Consider the following 22,060-nt stretch of genomic DNA (forward strand, 5'->3'; position numbering starts at 1 on the left):
GGTAGAGACAGGGCCCCACTATGTTGCTTTGAGGACTGGCCTCAAATTCCTGGGCTCACGAGGCTTTTCTTTATCTCCTAGCTTCCCTGGCCACTTTTTTTTTTTTTTTTTTTTTTTTTGAGATGGCGTTTCACTCTTGTTGCCCAGCCTAGAGTGCAGTGCCACGATCCCAGCTCACTGCAACCTCCACCTCCCGGGTTCAAGCGATTCTCCTGCCTCAGCCTCCCAAGTAGCTGGAATTACAGGCACGCGTTACCACGCCCAGCTAATTTTTTGTATTTTCAATAGAGACGTGGTTTCACCATATTGGTCAGGCTGGTCTCAAACTCCTGACCTCAAATGATCCCCCAACTCAGGCTCCCAAAGCACTGGGATTACAGGTGTCAGCCACCTCACCGGGCCCTGGCCGCTTTGTGTGTGTGTGTGTGTGTGTGTGTGTGTGTGTATGCTTGAAACAAGGACTGAATCTGTTGCCCAGGCTGGTGTGTGTGTGTTTGAGACAAGGACTCAATCTGTTGCCCAGGATGGAGTGTGTGTGTGTGTGTTTGAGACAAGGTCTCAATCTGTTGCCCAGGCTGGAGTGCAGTGGCAGGGATCTTGGGTACTTCGATCTCCGCCTCCTGGGTGCAAGTGATCCTCCTACCTTAGCCTCCAGAGTAGCTGGGACTACAGGTGTATACCACTGCACCCAGCTAATCTGTGAATTTTTAAAAAAAATTCAACATGGTTTCACCATGTTGCCCAGGCTGTTGTCAAACTCCTGGGCTCAAGCGATCTGACTGCCTCAGCCTCCCAAAGTGCTGGGATTGCAGGCGTGAGCCACCGCTCCCAGCCCCTGACCACTTTTCACTGACTCCTTTGCAATGCCCACCCTGCAGCCTCTCTCACTCTGGCCCTTTCCTGCTCTAGCCTCATATCCAGCTGCCTGGGGACCCTCCCTAGGATGTCCCAAAACTTGCCACAAAAACCCCACTGACTCCCAGCATTCCAGGTCTGACTGTTATATTCCGGGTCTAATTGAGAAAAAAATCTCAATCTCATAGGATCTGTGACATTTCTCCCGCTGTCCCCTCCCCTCCATCCTCTCTCACTGTGTCACCCCTTGGCCTGGTGTCATTTCTCACAGGGACCTCCCTGACTCCAGTGTCACACTCGGAGCTCATCTTCCAGTTGCAGCCAGGACAATTCTTTCTAAAGTGCAGTTCAGGTCTGGAACCCTCCATGGCTCCCTACTACCTCTGGGACAAAGTCCACACTCCTTGGCTTGGCTTCCAAACCCGTCCCCCTCCTCCATGACTGGGCCACCACTTGCTTCTCTCAGCATCTCATCTCCTTTTTTTGAGACAGGGTCTCACTCTTGTCACCCAAGTTGGAGAGCAGTGGTACAGTGCTACGGCCTTGGCTCACTGCAGCCTGCACCTCCCAGGCTCAAGCGATCCTCCCACCTTAGCCTCCCGAGTAGCTGGGACTATAGGCATGTGCTACCATGCCCAGCTGGTTTTTTGTATTTTTGGTAGAGACAGGGTTTCGCCATGTTGCCCAGGCTGGTCTCGAACTCCTGAGCTCAGGCGATCCACCTCCCTCGGCCTCCCAAAATGCTGGAATTACAGGCATGAGTCACTGTGCCCGGCCTCCCTGTCTCCTTTATACACCTCACCTTGAAGCCACACAGCCCACCTTTTCTTTTCCTTTTTTTTTTAAGATGAAGTCTCACTCTGTCACCCAGGCTGGAGTGCAGTGGCCTGATCTTGGCTCACCACAACCTTTGCCTTCTGGGTTCGAACAATTCTCCTGCCTCAGCCTGCCTAGTAGCTGGGATTACAGGTGAGCGCCACCACGCCCCACTAATTTTTGTATTTTTAGTAGAGACAGGGTTTCTCCATGTTGGCAAGGCTGGTCTCGAACTCCTGACCTCAAGTGATCTGCTCGCCTCGGCCTCCTAAAGTGCTGGGATTACAGGCGTGAACCACCACATCCGGCCCTTCTGGTCTTATTCTAACAGGGAAGCCCCTCTTACCTTCCCTCCTCTGCCCACAATTCAGGATAGCGCCTCCTCCAGGAAGCCTTCCTGCCTGCCAAAGCCCACAGCGCTGCCCACCTCCCCTCCACCCTGGCCTGTCAGGTCTTTACATGCTCGCCTTGCTGCAGGGAGTAAAAGCAGCTCCTGCCTTTGGCACAGAGCTTGACACACAGCTGGTCTACTTAGAGGCAACCTGAGACTTTTCCTGGCTGCTCTGACAAAGAGAACAACTGCTGACCCTTCCTGCCCCAGCCAACTTCCTCTGGGACAAACGAGGACACAGAGGAAGGGGGACCACTGGAACATGAAATTTACTAGGGCTTTTTAGCATCATTTACAAAGTTCTGTCCTAAAGAACATTCTCCAAAATCTGCTGGGCACGGTGGCTCACGCCTGTAATCTCAGCACTTTGGGAGGCTAAGGCCGGCGTATCACTTGAATCTAGGAATTCAAGACCAGCATGGGCAACATAGTGAGACCCCATCTCTACTAAAAATACAGAAATTAGCCAGGCGTGGTGGCGCATGCCTGTAATCCCAGCTACTTGGGAGGCTGAGGCATGAGAATTGCTTGAACCCGGGAGGCAGAGGTTGCAGTGAGCTGAGATTACACCACTGCACCCCAGCCTGGGTGACAGAGTGAGACTGTCTCAAAAAAAAAAAAATAAAATAAAATAAAGCATTCTCCAAAATGGACACTGATAGGATTGAAGGAGGGGTTTTGTCCTGGTTTCTGAGCCCAGATTGGACAGAAAACAAAGGGCTGGGTCCTTGGGTGCATAGACTCCCAGGGGGCTAGATAAGGAAGGAGGGTCTCAAAGTGTGTCTGCCCCTGGCTTTCCAGATGAGGAAATGAACACCAGCAAAGATGAAGTTTGTCCTGGTACGGTGTGGTGGCTCACGCCTGTAGCCCCAACATTTTGGGAGGCTGAACTGAGAGGATTGCTTGAGGCCAGGAGTTTGAGACCAGCCTGAGCAACCTAGTGAGACCCTGCCCCTACAAAAAATTAAAAATAAAAAATAGCTGGGTGTGGGGGCGCATGCCTGTAGTCCCAGCTACTAGGGAGGCCGAGGTGGGGGAATTGCTTGAGCCCAGGAATTGGAGGCCGCAGTGAGCTATGTTGGCTCCACTGCACTCCAGCCTGGGTGATGAAGTGAGACCCTGTCTCAAAAAATAGAATAAAATTAAGTTTGTTAGGCCAGGCGCGGTGGCTCACGCCTGTAATCCCAGCACTTTGGGAGGCCGAGGTGGGCGGATCACCTGAGGTCGGGAGTTCGAGACCAGCCTGACCAACATGGAGAAACCCTGTCTCTACCGAAAATACAAAAAATTAGCCGGGCGTGGTGGTGCGCACCTGTAGTCCCAGCTACTCAGGAGGGTGAGGCAGGAGAATCGCTTGAACCCCGGAGGAGGAGGCTGCAGTGAGTCGAGAGCACACCATTGCACTCCAGCCTGAGCAACAGAGTGAGACCCCCATCTCAAAAAAAAAAAAAAAAAGTTTGTCCAGGGCTCTCAGAAAGTCAGGGCCAAGTGAAGCCCCCCTCCCCAGCCCAGAGACCCCATCCTCTGGACTGTTTCTCATGGAAAGGCTGTAACCATGTGGCTTCCTGGGGGCTGGGGCAGGCTTTGTTTAACACTGATAAGTTCTTCCCTTCACTCAGCCGCGGAACCCTTTGCACCTATGCTGAGACAGATACTGGGACAGGACACATGGATGAATCAGGCAGGGTGCCCACAGCTTAGCGGGAGAGATAAGGAAAGTAAACAAACAACCCGAGACAATGCAAAGTGGAAAGTCCTTCTTGCCCCAGGAGCGGTGCAAAGTGCCAGGGAGCTCCCAGGACACCAAGACGATTTCAGAGTGTGGGAGTATGACTGTTGGATCAGGAAAGGAAGAATCTTAGAGGATAGGAGCCTGCAGGGGGTGGCAGAGCCCTTCCTGCTTGAGCCCTAAGGCCCGACATTAGTGGCGTCAAGCCAAGTAAGCCCTTCTCCTCCCCACTCCCGTGAAGCCCACCTTCAAACCTTTGGCGTTTAGGGAGGAGGAGGGGTCTTGACATTTGTTGTATGTGTGTCACGTGCTGCTATGACTATGACAGTGAGATACAGATGATCTCACTGAAAACTCAGTGAACCTCAGAAATAGGACCTATTGGCCGGGCGCGGTGGCTCATGCCTGTAATCCCAGCACTTTGGGAGGCCGAGGTGGGCAGATCACTTGTGGCCAGGAGTTCAAGACCAGCCTGGGCAACATGGTGAAACCCCGTCTCTACTAAAAATACAAAAATTAGCCAGGCATGGTGGCATGCGCCTGTAGTCCCAGTTACTTGGGAGGCTGAGGCACAATAATTGCTTGAACTGGGAGGTGAAGGTTGCAGTGAGCCGAGATCGTGCCATTGCACTTCAGCATGGGTGACAGAGCAAGACTGTTTCAAAAAAAAGAAAACCAAGAAAAAACAAATAGGACCTGTCATTCCCATTTTCACAAATAGCAAGCTTCGACTCCGGGAGGCTAGAGAATTTCCCAAGCCCACACAGTTAGGACATGCTAGGGCTGGACTGAAACCTCACTCTGTCTGATTCCGAACCTGGGGTCCTTCCAGCAACTTGTGCAATAGCTGGAGATCAGTGTGTCTGGGTGAGGACCCCAGGTGACATCATGCCTCAGCTGCCATCAGAAATTTCTTCTGCAGGCTGGGTGTGGTGGCTCACGCCTATAACCCCAGCTCTTTGGGAGGCTGAGGCGGGCAGATCATCTGAGGTCAGGAGTTCGAGACCAGCCTGGACAACATGGTGAAACCCTGTCTCCACTAAAAATACAAAATTTGGCGGGTGCCTGTAATCCCAGCTACTTGGTGCCCACAGCTTAGTGGGAGAGATAAGGGAAGTAAACAAACAACACGAGACAATACAAAGTGGAAAGTTCTTCTTGCCCCAGGAGAGGTGCAGGAGGCTGAGGCAGGAGAATCTCTTAAACCAGGGAGACGGAGGTTACAGTGAGCCAAGATCACGCCACTGCACTCCAGCATGGGCAACATGAGCGAAACTTCGTATTAAAAAACAAAACAAAACCAAACAAACCCCCCCCACCGCCATAATTTGGAGTTGGGGAACTGTGGACTTCCAGCCAGCCCCAGCTCTGCTTCTTTTACGCTCTGTGAACCTGAATATGTCACTTGCCTTCTGAGCCTCAGTTGCTCATCCATAACATGGCGGTAATAAAACCTATCTCCCAGGGTTGCTAGGAAGCCTTAAATAAGGTGATTCACGAAAGTGCCTGGCATGTAGATAAATGGAAACCAGAAAACACACCCTCTCCCTGCTTGGATGAAATCCAGCGGGGCGAGGACAGAGAATACTGCGTGTGGTCTCTCCTGGGCTTTGCATTCCCAGCTCAGTGCAGCCTTTGATCCTGCAGCAGAACCTGACCTGAATGAGGTCCCAACACAGGGCTGGCGGATCCAAGTCCTCTCTGCCTCTGCTGCCCTGCCATGGGGAGTGGGGTGTTCCCAAATGAATGAGAATGTGACCTCCTTAAGGATACATCATGTATTGGATACCAACTTAGTGGCAACACCCTGGAATACCTGTTATCTCCACACCAACCATGAAAGTTAGGACTATTGGCCTCGTTTTTTGTTTTGCCCTTTTTTTTTTTTTTTTTTTGAGACGGAGTCTCGCCCTGTCGCCCAGGCTGGAGTGCAGCGGCGCGATCTCAGCTCACTGCAAGCTCCGCCTCCCAGGTTCACGCCATTCTCCTGCCTCAGCCTGCCGAGTAGCTGGGACTACAGGCACCCGCCACCACGCCCAGCTAATTTTTTGTATTTTTAGTAGACACCGGGTTTCACTGCGTTAGGCAGGATGGTCTCGATCTCCTGACCTTGTGATCTGCCCGCCTTGGCCTTCCAAAGTGCTGGGATTACAGGTGTGAGCCACCGTGGCCTCGTTTTTATAGATAAGGAAACAAGTTCAGAGAGGCTAGGCAACTAGCCTGAAGTCACACAGCCAGCAAGGGGCAGAGACGGGGTGGAGGAACTAGCTCTGGGCAACTCTAAGTCCAGAGTTCCTTCCACGAGATGGCATGGCCTCTCTGGATCCCCTCTGCCCAATTGGCCATGGTGGGCACCTACTGGATATTCAGGAAGGACTTCAATGAAAGGCTGGTGGAGACCCATGCGGGATCCTCAGTTTCTCCATTTACAAAGTGATGCAGTTGGCCCCGCTAGTGTCTAATGGCCCTTTTTACCCTCGCATTCAAGGCACCCAACTATGCTAATGGGATGCAAAATGGGCTTTGAACTGTACCTCAAATCTCAGCCTACCCTAGTGCTACTGAGGGGTGACCTCTGCTGTGCCCAGCTTCACAGTGGAAACACCCTTTGGGACCTATTCCCCGAGACCCGCTGGAGGTCAGGAGCTATTCAGGAGTCCTGGTGCTGGGGGCCTGGTCTCCCCCTAAAAGGCTGTCAGGGTCAGGCGTGGTGGCTCACGCCTGTAATCCCAGCACTTTGGGAGGCCAAGGTGGGCAGATCACTTGAGGTCAGGAGTTCAAGACCAGCCTGGCCAACATGGTGAAACCGTCTCTACTAAAAATACAAAAATTAGCTGGGAGTGGTGGTGGGTGCCTGCAGTCCCAGCTACTTGGGAGGCTGAGGCAGGAGAATGGCTTGAACCTGGGAGGCGGAAGTTGCAGTGAGCCGAGATGGCACCACTGCACTCCAGCTTGGGCAACAGAGCAAGACTGTGTCTCAAAAAAAAAAAAAAAAAAAAAAGGTTGGCAGAACTCTGCTAGTGCTGGCCTTGAGGACCCCGGGGATTTTCCTGGGCAGCCACCATGTAGAACCCTCTGGCAGGAGGGTTGGAGGGGGCAGTCCCTCCCGGCTTGGGAGGCTGGTGGTAGCCACTCACACTGGATATACCAGGCCCTCCAGATGGCGTTGTTCAGGCGGATCTTGTCTCTGCAGAGCAGCTTGAGGCCTTTGAAATTCTTCCACTTGGGAGACACCAGCTTGCCACTGTCAAAGGGGAGAGGAGTAGGGTTAGGGAGATGCAGTGCTGCCACAGAGGCTGGTCCCCATATTCCCCATGCACTAGGCATCCATCTATGGTTGGCATTTGAGGGGCCCCTCCAAATCTGGCCCCCCAACCCAACCTGCCTGAAATTCCTATCCAGAGAGTCAGACCTTCAAAATCCCCTTCCAGACTCCCACCAGCGGCCCCTGTGTTCCCTGGGGAGACCTGTTTGTCAGTCTACTGCAGAACAAAAGCCACGCTGAAACCTGTGGATCAGCTCGGCCCTGGAAGCAACAATGTCCAGTGGCCTCACAGGTGTGTCTTGGAGGCTGGCTGGGGACAGTGCTCAGGCCCATTTCTCATTTAAGAGAATAAGAAATGACCTTCCTGGGCTGGGTGCAGTAGCTCACGCCTGTCATCCCAGAACTTTGCGGGGCCAAGGCGGGTGGATCGCCTGAGGTCAGGAGTTCGAGACCAGCCTAGTCCAACATACTGAAGCCCTGTCTCTACTAAAAATACAAAATTAGCTGGCTGTGGTGGCGCACACCTGTAATCCCAGCTACTCAGGAGGCTGAAGCAGGAGAATTGCTTGAGCCTGGGAGGCGGAGGTTGCAGTGAGCTGAGATCACACCGTTGTACTCCAGCCTGGGCAACAAGAGTGAAACTCCGTCTCAAAAAAAAAAAAAAAAAAAAAAGACCTTCCTGAGAGTCAGGGAGGAAAGGGGCAGGTCCGAGGTCACTCAGGCCTCCTTAGGCCCAGGAGAGGCAAAGGGGATGGCCATGGTTTGCCTGGTAGAGAGGGAGCCTCTGTGTTTTGTTTTGGTTTGGTTTGGTTTTTTTTGGTTTGCTTTTGGTTTTGAGACGGAGTCTCAGTCTGTCATCCAGGCTGGAGTGCAGTGGTGAGATCTCAGCTCACCACAACCTCCATCTCTTGGATTCAAACAATTCTCGTGCCTCGGCCTCCCGAGTAGCTGGGATTACAGTTGTGCGCCACCACGTTCAGCTAATTTTTTTGGTATTTTTAGTAAAGACGGGGTTTCACCATGTTGCCCAGGCTGGTCTCAAACTCCTGACCTCAAGTGATCTGCCCACCTTGGCCTCCCAAAGTGCTGGGATTACAGATGTGAGCCACCATGCCCAGCCGAGGGTGCCTCTTTATAGAGAGTGGCAGTCACTGCCTTCATGGTACAGTCCTTTTGGTGTCTGCCATGCCCAGAATCCCAGGGTGGCAACCTGGACTCAGCGAGAAGGTGTGCTCTTCTCAGGGCTGCACAGAAGACAATGAACCAACAGATCCCAAAGGAAGGCCGCTAGGATGAGCAAATGGTATTCATGGAGACAGAGCACCCTCACTCTAACCCTAGCTGTCCATCAAATCCACAGGATGGGCTGGGCGCGGTAGCTCACGGTTGTAATCCCAACACTTTGGGAGGCCAAGGCGGGAGGATCGCTTGAGCCAAGGAGTTTGAGACCAGCCTGGGCAACATAGCAAGACCCTGTCTCTACAAAATAATTTTAAAATTAGCCGGGTGTGGTGGCATGCACCTATAGTCCTAGCTACTAGGGAGGCGAGGTCAGAGGATTTCTTCAGCCCGGGAGTTTGAGGCTACAGTGAGCTATGATCACGCCACTGCACTCCAGCCTGGGCAACAGAGCAAGATCCTGTCTTGAAGGAAAAAAAAATCCACTGGATGGAAGAGCTTACACTGGTGAGGGTCCTGCTAGGCACAGGCCAAGTCTTCTGCCTCCAGGAAGCTGAGCCAGGAGGCCAAGACATTCAGGGTCTTAGACCCCCTGCTAGTCTCTCCCTCCCTCTCTCGTCTCCATCCACAAGCCAGGGTTGTGTACCAGTCCCCTCTAGCCCGCCTTTTGCATCCCTTACTCAGATCTCAGATGGGAAGGCTGAGGCCCCAAGTCTTAGCCATTTTTTCATTTTTTTGAGATGGAGCCTCATTCTGCCACCCAGGTTGGAGTGCAGTGGCATGATCTTGGCTCACTGCAACTTCCGTCTCCCAGGTTCAAATGATTCTCGTGCCTCAGCCCCCTGAGTAGCTGGGATTACAGGCATATGCCATGACACCCAGCTCACTTTTGTATTTTTAGTAGAGACGGGGCTTCATCATGTTGGCCAGGCTGGTCTCGAACTCCTGACCTCAAGTGATCCACCCACCTTGGCCTCCCAAAGTGCTGGGATGACAGGCGTGAGCCACCGCACCTGGCCCCCAAGGCTTAGTCTTTCAGAAAACCATACCTGCTTCCTCCAGGGGTCTTTCCTACATTCTGGGGGTGAAATGTGGGTGGGTGCCAGTCTGACTCCGCAGCCTCTCCCTACTTGAGTGCATTGGTCATTGGGCCCTCTCTCCTCCCTGGTCTCCAAGTTCCTGTGTTTGCTTTGGGGTGGGGGTGGGGGACTGCCCCCTCCCCACCAGGGACAACAGGCCTCATTACCCAAATAAGATACACAGCCCAGCTCTCTGGGCCACTGGCTGGGCCCCTCCCTCTGAGAATTAGATAAACACCATCTGTTTGGTAGGGAGACATGGAGGTGGGGGTGGGGGGAGACTCTGCTACCTCCTGGGCCAGCTTCTTCTGTGGCACCTGGTGGGGGACTCCTGAGTCTGTTGTCCCTGTCTGTATCCCAGCAACCTCCCAGCCCATTCTGATCACCCCGTGTCGCACCCTTGACCTGCCTGCCTTCTCTCCCGCTTCCATGCTAAGGTTATGACGTTCATGGCCCAGGCAGGGTTAGAGCAGATGTGACAGTGACAATATCCAAGCCCAGGAGGAAGAAAAGGATTTGGGGCTGTGAGAGAAGAGACTCAGCCTGGAGGAAGAGCGTAACGCTAGGGTTCAAGAACTTTTTATGACTGGCTGGGGATGGCTCACACCTGTAATCCCAGCACTTTGGAAGGCCGAGGCAGGAGGACTGTAGGAGGCCAGGAGTTTGAGATCAGCATGGGCAACATAGTGCAACCCTGTTTCTACAGTTAAAAAGTTAGCTGGGGCCAGGCACAGTGGCTCATGCCTGTAATCCCAGCACTTTGGGAGGCCGAGGTGGGTGGATCACCTGAGGTCAGGAGTTCGAGATCAGCCTGGCTAACAACGTGAAACCCCGTCTCTACTAAAAATACAAAAATTAGCCGGACGTGGTGGCAGGCGTCTGTAGTCCCAGCTACTTGGGAGGCTAAGCCAGGAGAATGGCGTTAACCCGGGAGGCGGAGTTTGCAGTGAGCCGAGATTGTGCCACTGCACTCCAGCCTGGGCGACAGAGAGCGACTCCATCTCAAAAAAAAAAAAAAAAAAGTTAGCTGGGCATGGTGGTGCAAACCTCTAGTCTCAGCTACTCAGGAGGCTGCAGTGGGAAGATCGCTTGAGCCCAGGAGTTCAAGGCTGAAGTGAGCTGTGATCACACCACTGCACTCCAGCCTGGGCAACAGAGTGGGAACCCGACTCATAAAAAACAAGTAAATTCTGGTTGGGCGCAGTGGCTCAAGCCTGTAATCCCAGCACTTTGGGAGGCCGAGATGGGTGGATCACAAGGTCAGGAGATCGAGACCATCCTGGCTAACGCAGTGAAACCCGGTCTCTACTAAAAATACAAAAAATTAGCTGGGCGTGGTGGCAGGTGCCTGTGGTCCCAGCTACTCGGGAGGCTGAGGCAGGAGAATGGTGTGAACCCGGGAGGCAGAGCTTGCAGTGAGCCAAGATCGCGCCACTGCACTCCAGCCTGGGCGACAGAGCAAGACTCCGTCTCAAAAAACAAACAAACAAAACAAAACAAAACAAAAACTTGTTATGACCAATAGAAAAGTCTGATGAGGAGCAGTGGTGGGCCTGTAACCTAAGCACTTTGGGAGGCTGAGGGGAGAGGATCGCTTGAACCCAGGAGTTCAAGACCAGCTGGGCAATACAGTGAGACCTTATCTCTATTTAAAACTATTAATAGGGCCAGGCGCGGTGGCTCACGTCTATAATCCCAGCACTTTGGGAGGCCAAGGCAGGCGAATCACCTGAGGTCAGGAGTTCAAGACCAGCCTGGCTAACATGGAGAAACCCCGTCTCTACTAAAAATACAAAAATTAGCCGGGCATGGTGGTGCGTGCCTGTAATCCCAACTACTCGGGAGGCTGAGGCAGGAGAATCGCTTGAACCCAGGAGGCGGATGTTGCAGTGAGCCGAGATCATGCCATTGTACTCCAGCTTGAGTGTCACAGCGAGACTCTGTCTCAACAACAAACAAAAAACAACAACAACAACAACAAAAACTATTAAAAGAAGAAAAGAGCTGGGCCCAGTAGCTCACACCTGTAATCCCAGCACTTTGGGAGGCCGAGACGGGTGGATCACAAGGTCAGGAGTTCAAGACCAGCCTGGCCAACATGGTGAAACTCCACCTGTACTGAAAAAAAAAAAAAAAAAAAGCCGGATGTGGTGGCAGGCGCCTGTAATCCCAGCTACTCAGGAGGCTGAGGCAGAGAATTGCTTGAACCCGTTGGGTGGAGGTTGCAGTGAGCTGAGATTGCGCCACTGCACTCCAGCCTGGGCGACAGAGTGAGACTCCGTCTCAGAAAAAAAAAAGAAAAGAAAGAAAAAGGCAGGACACGATGGCTCATACCTGTAATCCCAGCACTTTGGGAGGCTGAGGTGGGCAGATCACTTGAGGTCAGGGGTTCGAGACCAGCCTGGCCAACATGGTGAAACCTCGTCTCTACTGAAAATTAAAAATTAGCTGGGGATGGTGGCACATGCCTGTTACCTCAGCTACTCTGGAGGCTGAGACATGAGAATCGCTTGAACTCAGGAGACGGAGATTACAGTGAGCTGAGATCATGCCAGCGCACTCCAGCCTGGGCAACAGAGTGAGACTCTGTCTCCAAAAATAAATAAATAAATAAATAAATAAATAAATAATAAGAAGGAGAAGAAAACTCTGAGACTTAGAGAGGGGGTTGAGAAAACCCCAAGTTCAGCTGCCCACCTCCCACCTTTCAGGAATTCCTTTTAGATTGCCCCCTAACCAGGTCCTGTTTGCTCCCCTGCACCCTCAAGGCCACTCTTCCTAAAGCTAGCCAGCTCTGACCATGAACAAGTGCTTCCTTGAAGCTTCCAGAAACTACCTCCCTGGGGCTTCCACCCACGGAGCCATGGAAGACGGCCTCCTCGATCCTCCCTCTGCCCACGCTAACCTGCAGAGGGTGAAACCTTGCCAGGCCTCTGCAGGCTGGTCTCTGGGTCAGGCTGGTCCCTGATTCAGGTGGGTCCCTGGTCAAGCTCGCTGTTCTTCCCACCACCTTCTGAACTCTCTGCCTTACTGTCTCTTCCCATATAGTCACTCCCCTGGGACACTCAGCTCCTGTAATCTGCTCCCCTCCAGGGGACCCCTGGAACTGGGGGTCTTTGAGGATGAAAACACTGTCCCAGTTCAAGCCTCAGGGCTTTTCCACTACCAAATGGGGAAATCTAGAAGCTCTCCTGGTACCGAGCCAACCCTCCATCTCCCTCCATCTCCCTCCCTCCCTCCATCTCCCTCCCTCCCTCCATCTCTCTCCAGCTCCCTCCCTCCCTCCATCTCCCTCCCTCCCTCCCTTCCTCCCTCTCTCCCTTCCTCCCTCCCTCCATCTCCTTCCCTCTCCCTCCCTCCATCTCCCTCCGTCTCCCTCCCTCCATCTCCCTCCCTCCCTCCTTCTCCCTCCCTCCTCCATCTCCCTCCCTCCATTTCCCTCTATCTCCCTCCCTCCCTCCATCTCCCTCTCTCCATCTCCCTCTCTCCATCTCCCTCCCTCCTTTATCTCCCTCCCTCCTTCCATCTCCCTCCCTCCCTTCCTTCCTTCCTCCCCCCATCTCCCTCCCTCCCTCCCTCCCTTCCTTCCAACAAGGTCTCACTCTATCACCCAGGGTGGAGTGCAGTGGCACCATCATGTCTTACTGGAGCCTCAACCTCCTGGGCTGAAGTGATCCTCCCACCTCAGACTCCCCAGTAGCTGGTACTAGGAATGTGCCATCACACCTGGCTGATTAAAGAAAATTTTTTTTGGCCAGGCATGTTGGCTCATGCCTGTAATCCCAGCACTTGGGGAGGCCAAGGCAGGTGGATCACCTGAGGTCAGGAGTTTGAGACCAGCCTGGCCAACATGGTGAAATCTCGTCTCTACTAAAAATACAAAAAATTAGCTGGAGGTGGTGGGCGCCTGTAATCCCAGCTACTCAGGAGGCTGAGGCAGGAGATTCTCTTGAACCCGGAAGGCAGAGGTTGCAGTGAGCTGAGATGGCACCACTGCACTCCAGCCTGGGCAACAAGAGCAAAACTCTGTCTCAAAAAAAAAAAAAAATTTTTTTTTTTTTGGTAGAGACAGGTTCTCAGTATGTTGCCCAGGCTGGTCTCCAACTCCTGGGCTCAAGCAATCCTTGGATGAGAACCTTGGCCTCCTAAAGTGCTGGGCTTACAGGCAGGAGCCACTGTGCCCAGCCAGAGATTTACTATTAATATTTGGGTATTTGGGAAGAAAACACAGTCCTCTCTACCCCAGCTATCTCTGACTGGGGTTACATCAGCCTTGAGTCAGCCTCTGGGTGGGGGGGCAATTTTGGGGGTGCGCTCTGTCCCTTACCTTGCCAGCTCCCCAGAACCTCTCCTCTTTGGTCACCCATCGTCAGGGTTGGAAGTGAGGCCCCCTCCCAAATAGAGTGATGTGTAGTATATAATGAGCAGCCAAAGTTGGGGTTGGGTGGGAAATGGGAGACCCTTAGGAGGAGGAGTGCCGGCATCCGGTGTACCAGGACCTTAGATGCCCTGTCCCAGGCAGTCGCGTGACATTTGGGGAGGGAGGGAGAAGGGACGGGAATTTGAACTTTCCACACGGGTCCGACGCCCTGGCCGATCGGGTTGCAACATGACCTGGGCCAGGGGCCAGAGCTTGTGGGCCAAGGTTACTCCGCCTCCAGCCAATGGGGTCGCAGCTGGGCGGCTGCGGTTGGGGGCAGGCAACACTCCCCTCACAGTCCCCACCCCAGCTCCTGCTCCCCCGCAGGGCGGCAGGTGCCGATCTGTAGCCAGCGGTTCTCAGAAGGGGAGGAGGCGCCGCGGAGGAAGAGGAATATTTGCACAGAGAAAAGATCAAGGCCGGCCGATCCCCCTTTCTCCCCTACGGGTTTTCGGTTGATAATTTATACTGGCCCCTCAACTCCGGGGAACTTTGCTCCAGGGCACTGGGCCAGGCCTCGGGTTCGCGCCCTCCTCTGGGACGCGGGGCGTGGAGCGGCAGCGGGGCGCGGCCTGTGCGCTCTCGGTGGCACTAAGCGGGGGTCCCAGGCAGCGACGGGCGCTCAGCCTAGTGTGGCGACGTGGGTAGGCGAACCCAGGCCTCCCGGGCACCGGCGTAACCTCTGCGAGCTGCGCCTCTTGGACATTTCTGGGACATCCTCCTCCCGCCACCCTTAATGTAGCAGATCAAGAAGAGGTGTCTCAGCAATTGCGGGGAGGTGGACGTGAGAGTGGGCCAGTTCCAGTCCACTTTGGTTATGAACTGGGACAATCAGGGGCGCTGGGAGTATCTCAGGGTCCAGGAATAGGGCGGGCTTGGGCCGGGGCTGCTGGGGAGAAGGCCGAGGCCTGCAGGGGGTCGGGTGGAGTGGCTCCAGAGTGGAGAGTGGGGATGGGCGCGGGTGGCCTAGGGACCAGGGGCGCCTGGCATTTTTGTAGGGACGGAGGGGCTGGGACCAGAGAGAGGGGACCAGAGGTCCAGGTAGAGGTGGGGCGCAGGCGGTCTGCGCTTCGGGGAAGAGGGAATGGGGGAGGAATGGGAATCAGAAATGCGTGGGTCCGTCAGGGGCCAGCGGGCTGGGCCGCTGTAGGAGGACCTCGGGGCTGGGAGAAAGGGGGTGTCCAGGGCGTGATCGGAGCCTCCGGGAGCCGCAGGACCGGGCTCGGGTGGGGTGTTGAGGGCCCCAGCGCGCAGTCCTGCCCCGGACCCCCCCCCCATCCCCACCTGGAAGCCAAGGCCGTCAGGGCCCGGAACCGCCCTCACCTGTAGGCCAGGCTCAAGCACTCGAAGAGGCGTGTGAGTGTGGGGTCGATACTGCGCGGCCCGAAGTCGGAGGGCCCCACGGACCCCTCCTGGTCGCGCCGCCGGGGCAGCGAGTCGCTGTGCGGCGACGACACCATGAAGTGACCGCTGTGGATGACCTGCGAGCGGAGCAAGCCGCCCGCGCTGCGCCGGAGACTCGGGTCCTCCGAGTCTGTGTCCGAGTCCGAGTCTGGGCTGGGCGCGACCCGCGGGACCTGCAAGCCCGCGGCCAGACCTGCCAGCGCGCCGGCCATGGCTGTCGCCGCCGCAACCGCCTGGTCCCTGCTCCGCGCAGCGCGGGGAACAGCTCTTGGCCAGCCGGGCCTCATTAACATAGCCCCGCCCCCACACCATAGGCCGATCGGGTGGGCGGGGCCTGGGACGGGGCGGGGCTTGTATTAGCATAATCCTTACGCCAGGTGAGAACCCGGTGCTCTGGAGCTCTGGCGGGTTGGCCCCATCTCCCTTCCCGTCTTTCCTTGGAGTCCTGATAGAGCCGCCCCTACTTTGCTCCAAAGGGATATTAAGAAAGGTCAGGCCGGACGCCAGGGGCTCTTGCCTGTAATCCTAGCACTTTAGGAGGCCAAGGCGGGAGGATGGCTTGAGGTCAGGAGTTCGAGACCAGCCTGAGCAATATGGCAAGACCCCCATCTCTACCAAAAAAATGCAAAAATTAGCCGGACATAGTGGAGAAAGCCTGTAATACCAGCTACTGGGGAGGCTGAGGTGGGAGGATTCCTTGAGCCCAGGAGTTCGACAATATGGCAAAACCCTGTCTCTACCAAACATACAAAAATTATCCAGGCATGGTGGCGTGTGCATGTAGTCCTAGCTACTCCGAAGGCTGAAGTGGGAGAATCGCTTGAGACCAAGAGGTTGAGGCTGCAGTGAGCGGAGATCGCGCCACTGCACTCCAGCCTGGATGACAGAGTGAGACCCTGTCTCCACAACAAAAGGGTCCCCTATCACACCTGAGCCTGAAAGCGCCTCAGGACCTGGGGTTTGTTCTTTCAGGGGCACCCTCCTGTGAGGCCAGAGATCACCATCTCCCCTCACCTAACTCCTGCCCTTCACCTCCAACCCCCGCCCCCCATATTAGCTCTTCTGGGTCCTCCACATAGGTAGAAGCCCCCAACTCTCAGGGGCCTGATGTGGTAAGCCCAAGGTAATGCCCCTGAAGGGCCTGGCCCACAGGAGGTTGCTAACACCTCTAGTTAACATGGTGGCCAACACGGTGGCCGGGCGCGGTGGCTCTCGCCTTCAATCCTAGCACTTTGGGAGGCCATGGTGGGTGGGTCACTTGAGGCCAGGAGTTCGAAACCAGCCTGGCTAACATGGAGAAACCCCTTCTCTACTAAAAATACAAAAATTACCGGATGTGACGATGCGTGCTTGGCTTATAATCCCAGCTACTCGGGAGGCTGAGGTGGAAGAATCACATGAGCCCAAGAGGTGGAGGTTGCAGTGAGCCGAGATCGCGCCCTACTGCACTCCACCCTGGGCAACAGTGAAATCCTGTTTCAAAAACAAAATAAAATACTTAAGAAAAAATATATATTAAAAAAATTGTGATCATTACTTCACCTGCACAGAGAGGCCCAAGGGGAGCCTCGAGGGACTGTTACTGGTAGGGATGGGTGGCTCACTGGAAGGTGGACATCCCCTAGGCAGGCATCTACCCAGGAGCTCTGAGCCCCTTCTCTCACTGACACTGAGGTCCAGCTTTTGTTCCTGCTTCTTTGTATTTTTATTTATCTATATACTTCTATTTATTTATTGTTTTGAGACGGAGGCTCACTCTGTCACCCAGGCTGGAGTGCAATGGCACGATCTCGGCTCACTGCAACCTCTGCCTCCCTGGTTCAAGCGATTCTCCTGCCTTAGCCTCCTGAGTAGCCGGGATTACAAGTGCCCGCCACCATGCCCAGCTAATTTTTGTATTTTTAGTAGAGACGAGGTTTCTCCATGCTGGCCAGGCTGGTCTCAAACTCCTGACCTTAAAGCGATTTGCCCACCTCAGCCTCTCAAAGTGCTGGGATTCCAGGCATGCGCCACCGTGCCCAGCCTATTTATATATTTTTAGAGACAGGGTCTCGCTCTGTCACCCAGGCTGGAGTGCAGAGGCACGGTCATAGCTCACTGCAGCCTCAAACTCCTGGGCCAAAGCGATCCTCCCACCTCAGCCTCCCTAGTAGCTGGGACTACAGGCTCATGCCACCAAACCTGGCTAATTTTTTTTTTTTTGTAGAGATGAAATCTGCTTCAGCCTCCCAAAGTTTTGGGATTACAAGTGTGAGCCACTGTACATGGCCTTTCTGCTTCTGAAGCCTCTTTTCTCACCTTGAGGACAGAAACCAGACTGAGGCATTCACACCTGACACCTCACTGGAGCGTTTAACTAACAGCCTCAAAGATGGGTTCAGAGGCACAGGAGAGCAAAAACACACCCAAGCATCTCTGAGGGGCAGCAGCAAAGCCTGGTCTAGTAGATTTCCAGATTTCCCCCAAGGATGTCCCTAGTGGGTGGGGACAGGAAAGAGTTGTAGGCACATGCTAAGCTCTGCTGGCTTTCTGACAGGTATCCTGTGTGTGGTCATGTTAGGGAAAGCGGAGGAGGTGGTTTCCCATGTGTGGCAGCCTTGGAAAAGGTTGACATGCAGCACTTTCTTCCAGCCCACAGGAGGATCACACAGCACCTAGGATCACAATGGCAGTGCCCTGAGGGCCCCAGCCACTGGCTGTGGGAGGAAAGTGATTATCCAAGGCTGCTCACAGGCCAGCCCTTCCACCCACCTCCCTTGGCCGGGTATCTTCTGTCTCTGCCAAATGTTCGCATCACATTCCCAGGAGCCCCAGCTGTTCTGCTCCATCCTCCCTGCTGCCCTCTGTAGGATGTGCATTCTCTCTGCCCATCCCTGCCAGGTTAGGAAAGGGGGTTCTGATGCTCACCCCACTCTCCCTCCTTTGGAGGGGCTCTGCCCTGCTTCAGAGAGCCATCCCCAAGTGGCCCTCTTTTTTTTTTTTTTTTTTGAGCCAGTCTCAGTCTGTCACCCAGACTGGAGTGCAGTGGCATGATCTCAGCTCACTGCAACCTCCGCCTCCCGGGCTCAAGCGATTCTCCTGCCTCAGCCTCCCAAGTAGCCGGGATTACAGGCGTGTAACACCATGCCCGACTAATTTTTGTATTTTTAGTAGAGATGGGGTTTCACCATGTTGGCCAGGCTGGTCTTGAACTCCTGACCACAAGTGATCCACCTGCCTCAGCCTCCCAAAGTGCTGGTATTACAGGCGTGAGCCACCGTGGCCAGCTCTCAGGTGGCAGTTAACCGTCTTTTGAGGCCCTTGGTACAGAGGCTGACAGGATCATTACTTACCCCTATATGCCTGTCTGGCTTCTCCCCCTATTCCTCCGTAGGCCATTGAGGCAAGACTGTGTCCTAGCATCTCTGAACCCCCACACTGGGTACCTGGAGACTTGGGGGATGCTTGAAGAAAGGGGCATGAGACTAAGAGGAGCGGGTGGGGTGCTGTGGAGGAGGTTGGATAGGAAGTGTCAGCTCCGCCCTCGCCTCTGGCTTGGGACCTCCTGGCTCCGGGGACCCTGGCTCAGGTGAAGACCGGAATTGATCCTTGCTCTGCTGCTAATTCCATGAGTAACACTGGGGAGATCTCTGTCTCTCTGTCTTACTGGCGATCTGTCTCACTACCTGTAAAATTGAGGGCCAAACTCAGTGCTTTCTTTCTTTCTTCTTCTTTTTGCTGTTGTAAAGATGAGGTCTCACTATATTCCCCAGGCTGGTCTCGAGCACCTGGGCTCAAGCGACCCTTCCACCACGGCCTCCCAAAGTGCTGAGACTACGGGCATGAGCCACTGTGCCTGGCCTGAATTCAGTGATTTGTTGGGGATCCAGGAATCTTGGCTCCAAGTCTCTGCTGGCCGTGTCTCCAGATCACCCCACCGTGCTCTCCCCATGCTCTGAAAACATCAGAGTTGTCTCCTGCGGTTTCAGGGACTTTCCTCTGAGCTGGATCTGAGCGGGTGGGAAGATTATGAGTGAATTCTCTCCTTCACCCAACATCCCTCCTTCCCCAGCCATGAATTGCCCCTCAACAGGCATCTGCATCTCATTTCTGCCCTCCTCCAGGGCTTAATAACACCTCTAGAAGCCTAACCGCTGAAAAGACAAACCCTGACTGCACAATGCAAAACATCCAAACACTAGAGTGTCCAATAAATGCAAGGACGTCCACAGATTCTGATTTCTCCTGTGTTTAGAGACAGGGTCTCGCTGTGTCACCCAGCCTGGAGTGCAGTGGCACAATCATAGCTCACTGCAGCCTCAAACTCCTGGGCCAAAGTGATCCTCCCACTTCAGCCTCCCAAAGTGTTGGGATTAGAAGTGTGAGCCACTTGTAATGGGACCACAGGCGCCGCACCCCCTGTTCAGGGCACCATTGCCCAGATAATAGCACAGCCATGTACATGTAAGCTGGCTCACGCTCTTGCTGCTTCTCTAGCCTCTGTTACTATAGCCAGCAGTTTACAGCCTCTGTACAAACAAGTCTTGTTCATGGTCCATGGAGATGCAAGACAAGATCCTAACTGTGGTGTGAATACCTGGCTGTCCCCAGCCATCCCACCTGATGTCACATCCTCTCTGCCTTCCAGTCTTGGTCCTCAGGGCTCTTCACCCAGCCTGCCCTTCCTTGTTGGGAAAGCCCACCTGTCCTTGAAGTCCCACCTATGACATCTTCCCCAAGTTCTCCAGGTTATTTCTGAGTTCCCACCACCCTTGTTCTTTTCTTTTCTTTTTTTTTTTTTGAGACCAAGTCTTGCTCTGTCGCCCAGGCTGGAGTGCAGTGGCGTGATCTCAGCTCACTGCAACCTCCACCTCCCGGATTCAAGCGATTCTCCTGCCTCAGCCTCCTGAGGAGCTGGGATTACAAGGGTGCACCACCACGCCTGGCTAATTTTTGTATTTTTGTAGAGACGGGGTTTCACCATGTTGGTCAGGTTAATCTTGAACTCCTAACCTCGTGATCCACCCTCTTCAGCCTCCCAAAGTCCTGGAATTACAGGAGTGAGGCACCGTGCCTGGCCGCACCACCCTTGTTCTAATATAAGTCTAATTTCATTCAGCTTTGCATTCACAGTGATGACGCACGTGCTTTTCCTCCCCACTAGATGGCAAATTCCTTGAGAGCAAGAATCACTGCTGGGCGTGGTGGCTCATGCCAGTAATCCCAGCACTTTGAGAGGCCAAGGGGAGGATTGCTTGAGCCCAGGGGTTCGAGACAAGCCTGGACAGCATAGCAAGACTCTGTCTCTACAAAAAATTAAAAAATTAGCTATTTGTGGTCTTGTAGTTCCAGCTACTTGGGAGGCTGAGGTGAGAGGATCGCTTGAGCTCAGGAGTTGGAGGCTGCAGTGAGCTATAAACATGCCACTGTACTCCAGCCTGGGTGACAGAGTGAGAACCTGTCTCTTAAAAACTAAAAGGCACGTTCATAAATTATTCCATTTACTAGTGAGCCTGTCAACTGTGTGTATATGTGGGTGTGTTAGAATTTTCATTGCCATTTTACAGATGGGGAGACTGAGACTCTGAGAGGTGAAATGATCTGGCGGATTGTGGTGAGAATTAGCTATATAAAGCTAACCTTTATGGAGCACTTACCACCTAGCAGGTCCGCAGGATCTTCACAACAGCCCCTTGGCTTGTCTTTTTTATTATTTTTATTTATTTATTTATTTATTTATTTATTTATTTATTTATGAGACGGAGTCTTGCACTGTTTCCCAGGCAGGAGTGCAGTGGCACGATCTCAGCTCACTGCAAATTCCGCCTCTTGGGTTCACGCCATTCTCCTGCCTCAGCCTCCCAAGTAGCTGGGACTACAGGCGCCCGCCACCACTCCCGGCTAATTTTTTGTACTTTTAGTACAGGCGGGGTTTCACTGTGTTAGCCAGGAAGGTCTCGATCTCTTGACCTCGTTATCTGCCCGCCTCGGCCTCCCAAAGTGCTGGGATTACAGGCCAGCTTGTCTTTTTTTTTTTTTTTTTTTTTGAGATGGAGTCTCACTCACTCTGTCACCCAGGCCAGAATGCAGTGGCATGATCTTGGGTCATTGCAAGCTCTGCTTCCTGGGCTCAAGTGATCCTCCCACCTAAACCTCCCGAGTAGTTGGGACTACAGGCGTGTGCCACTATGCCCACCTAATTTTTGTATTTTTTGTAGAGATGGGATTTTGCCATGTTGGCCAGGCTGGTCTTGAACTCCTGAGCTCAAGCAATCCTCCTGCCTTGGTCTCCCAAAGTGCTGGGATTACAGGCGTGTGCCACTGTGCCCGGCCTACCCTTTGATTTTCAACACATTTTGCAGATAAGAAAACAACCTTTGCTGAAGGTCACATGATAAGAAGAGAACTGGGATTCAAACGCAGACAATTGAATGCCAGCCTGTTCCACAAGTACCTATGTTCTCAAACTCAAAGGGCTGGCCATTGTGCAGGAGGATGTGGTACGAGCAGACACTCATCTACTGCTCCTGCCAGTGGAGGCAAAATCACTTTGGAAAGGTATTTGGCAGCATCTACTAGCATTGAGCATCTCCCACCTTAGTTAGAACCCAGCAGTGTGCACACATGTGCACCAAAACACAAGACTATTCGTGGCAGCACTGATCTTACTAGCCCAACACTGGAGATGCCCCGGATGCCTATCAACAGGTGAATGGATAAATACATTGCAGAACAGTCACACTAGGGAATACTTTTTTTTTTTTTTTGAGACGGAGTCTTGCTCTGTCACCCAGGCTGGAGTGCAGTGGCATGATCTCAGCTCACTGCAAGCTCCATCTCCTGGGTTCATGCCATTCTCCTGACTCAGCCTCCCGAGTAGCTAGGACTACAGGTGCCCGCCACCACGCCCAGCTAATTTTTTTTGTATTTTTAGTAGAGACTG

The 22,060-nt window shown here is 53.7% G+C and overlaps 1 protein-coding gene across 15 annotated transcripts in view; it reads right to left on the reverse strand.

Moving 5' to 3' along the window:
- Nucleotides 1-22,060, reverse strand: part of MLXIPL (MLX interacting protein like) — a 54,706-nt gene that overhangs the window by 15,941 nt on the left and 16,705 nt on the right. For 13 of the 15 annotated variants that reach the window (NR_134541.2, XR_007060040.1, XM_047420435.1 and 10 more), the window contains exons 1-2: nucleotides 15,058-15,380; nucleotides 6,929-7,035 (exon numbers count right to left, since the gene is read on the reverse strand). Coding sequence is in view for 11 of the 15 variants with exons in the window: in XM_047420435.1 (XP_047276391.1) it covers nucleotides 6,929-7,035; nucleotides 15,058-15,350 (400 nt within the window). In the remaining 4 variants the exon portion in view is untranslated. Of the gene's footprint in view, nucleotides 1-6,928; nucleotides 7,036-13,641; nucleotides 14,923-15,057; nucleotides 15,381-22,060 lie in introns of those variants that run through there. The other 2 variants (XM_047420436.1, XM_047420437.1) reach the window with 2 other exon arrangements.

This window comes from Homo sapiens, chromosome 7 (genome assembly GCF_000001405.40).
Source record: "Homo sapiens chromosome 7, GRCh38.p14 Primary Assembly".
NCBI lineage: Eukaryota > Metazoa > Chordata > Mammalia > Primates > Hominidae > Homo > Homo sapiens.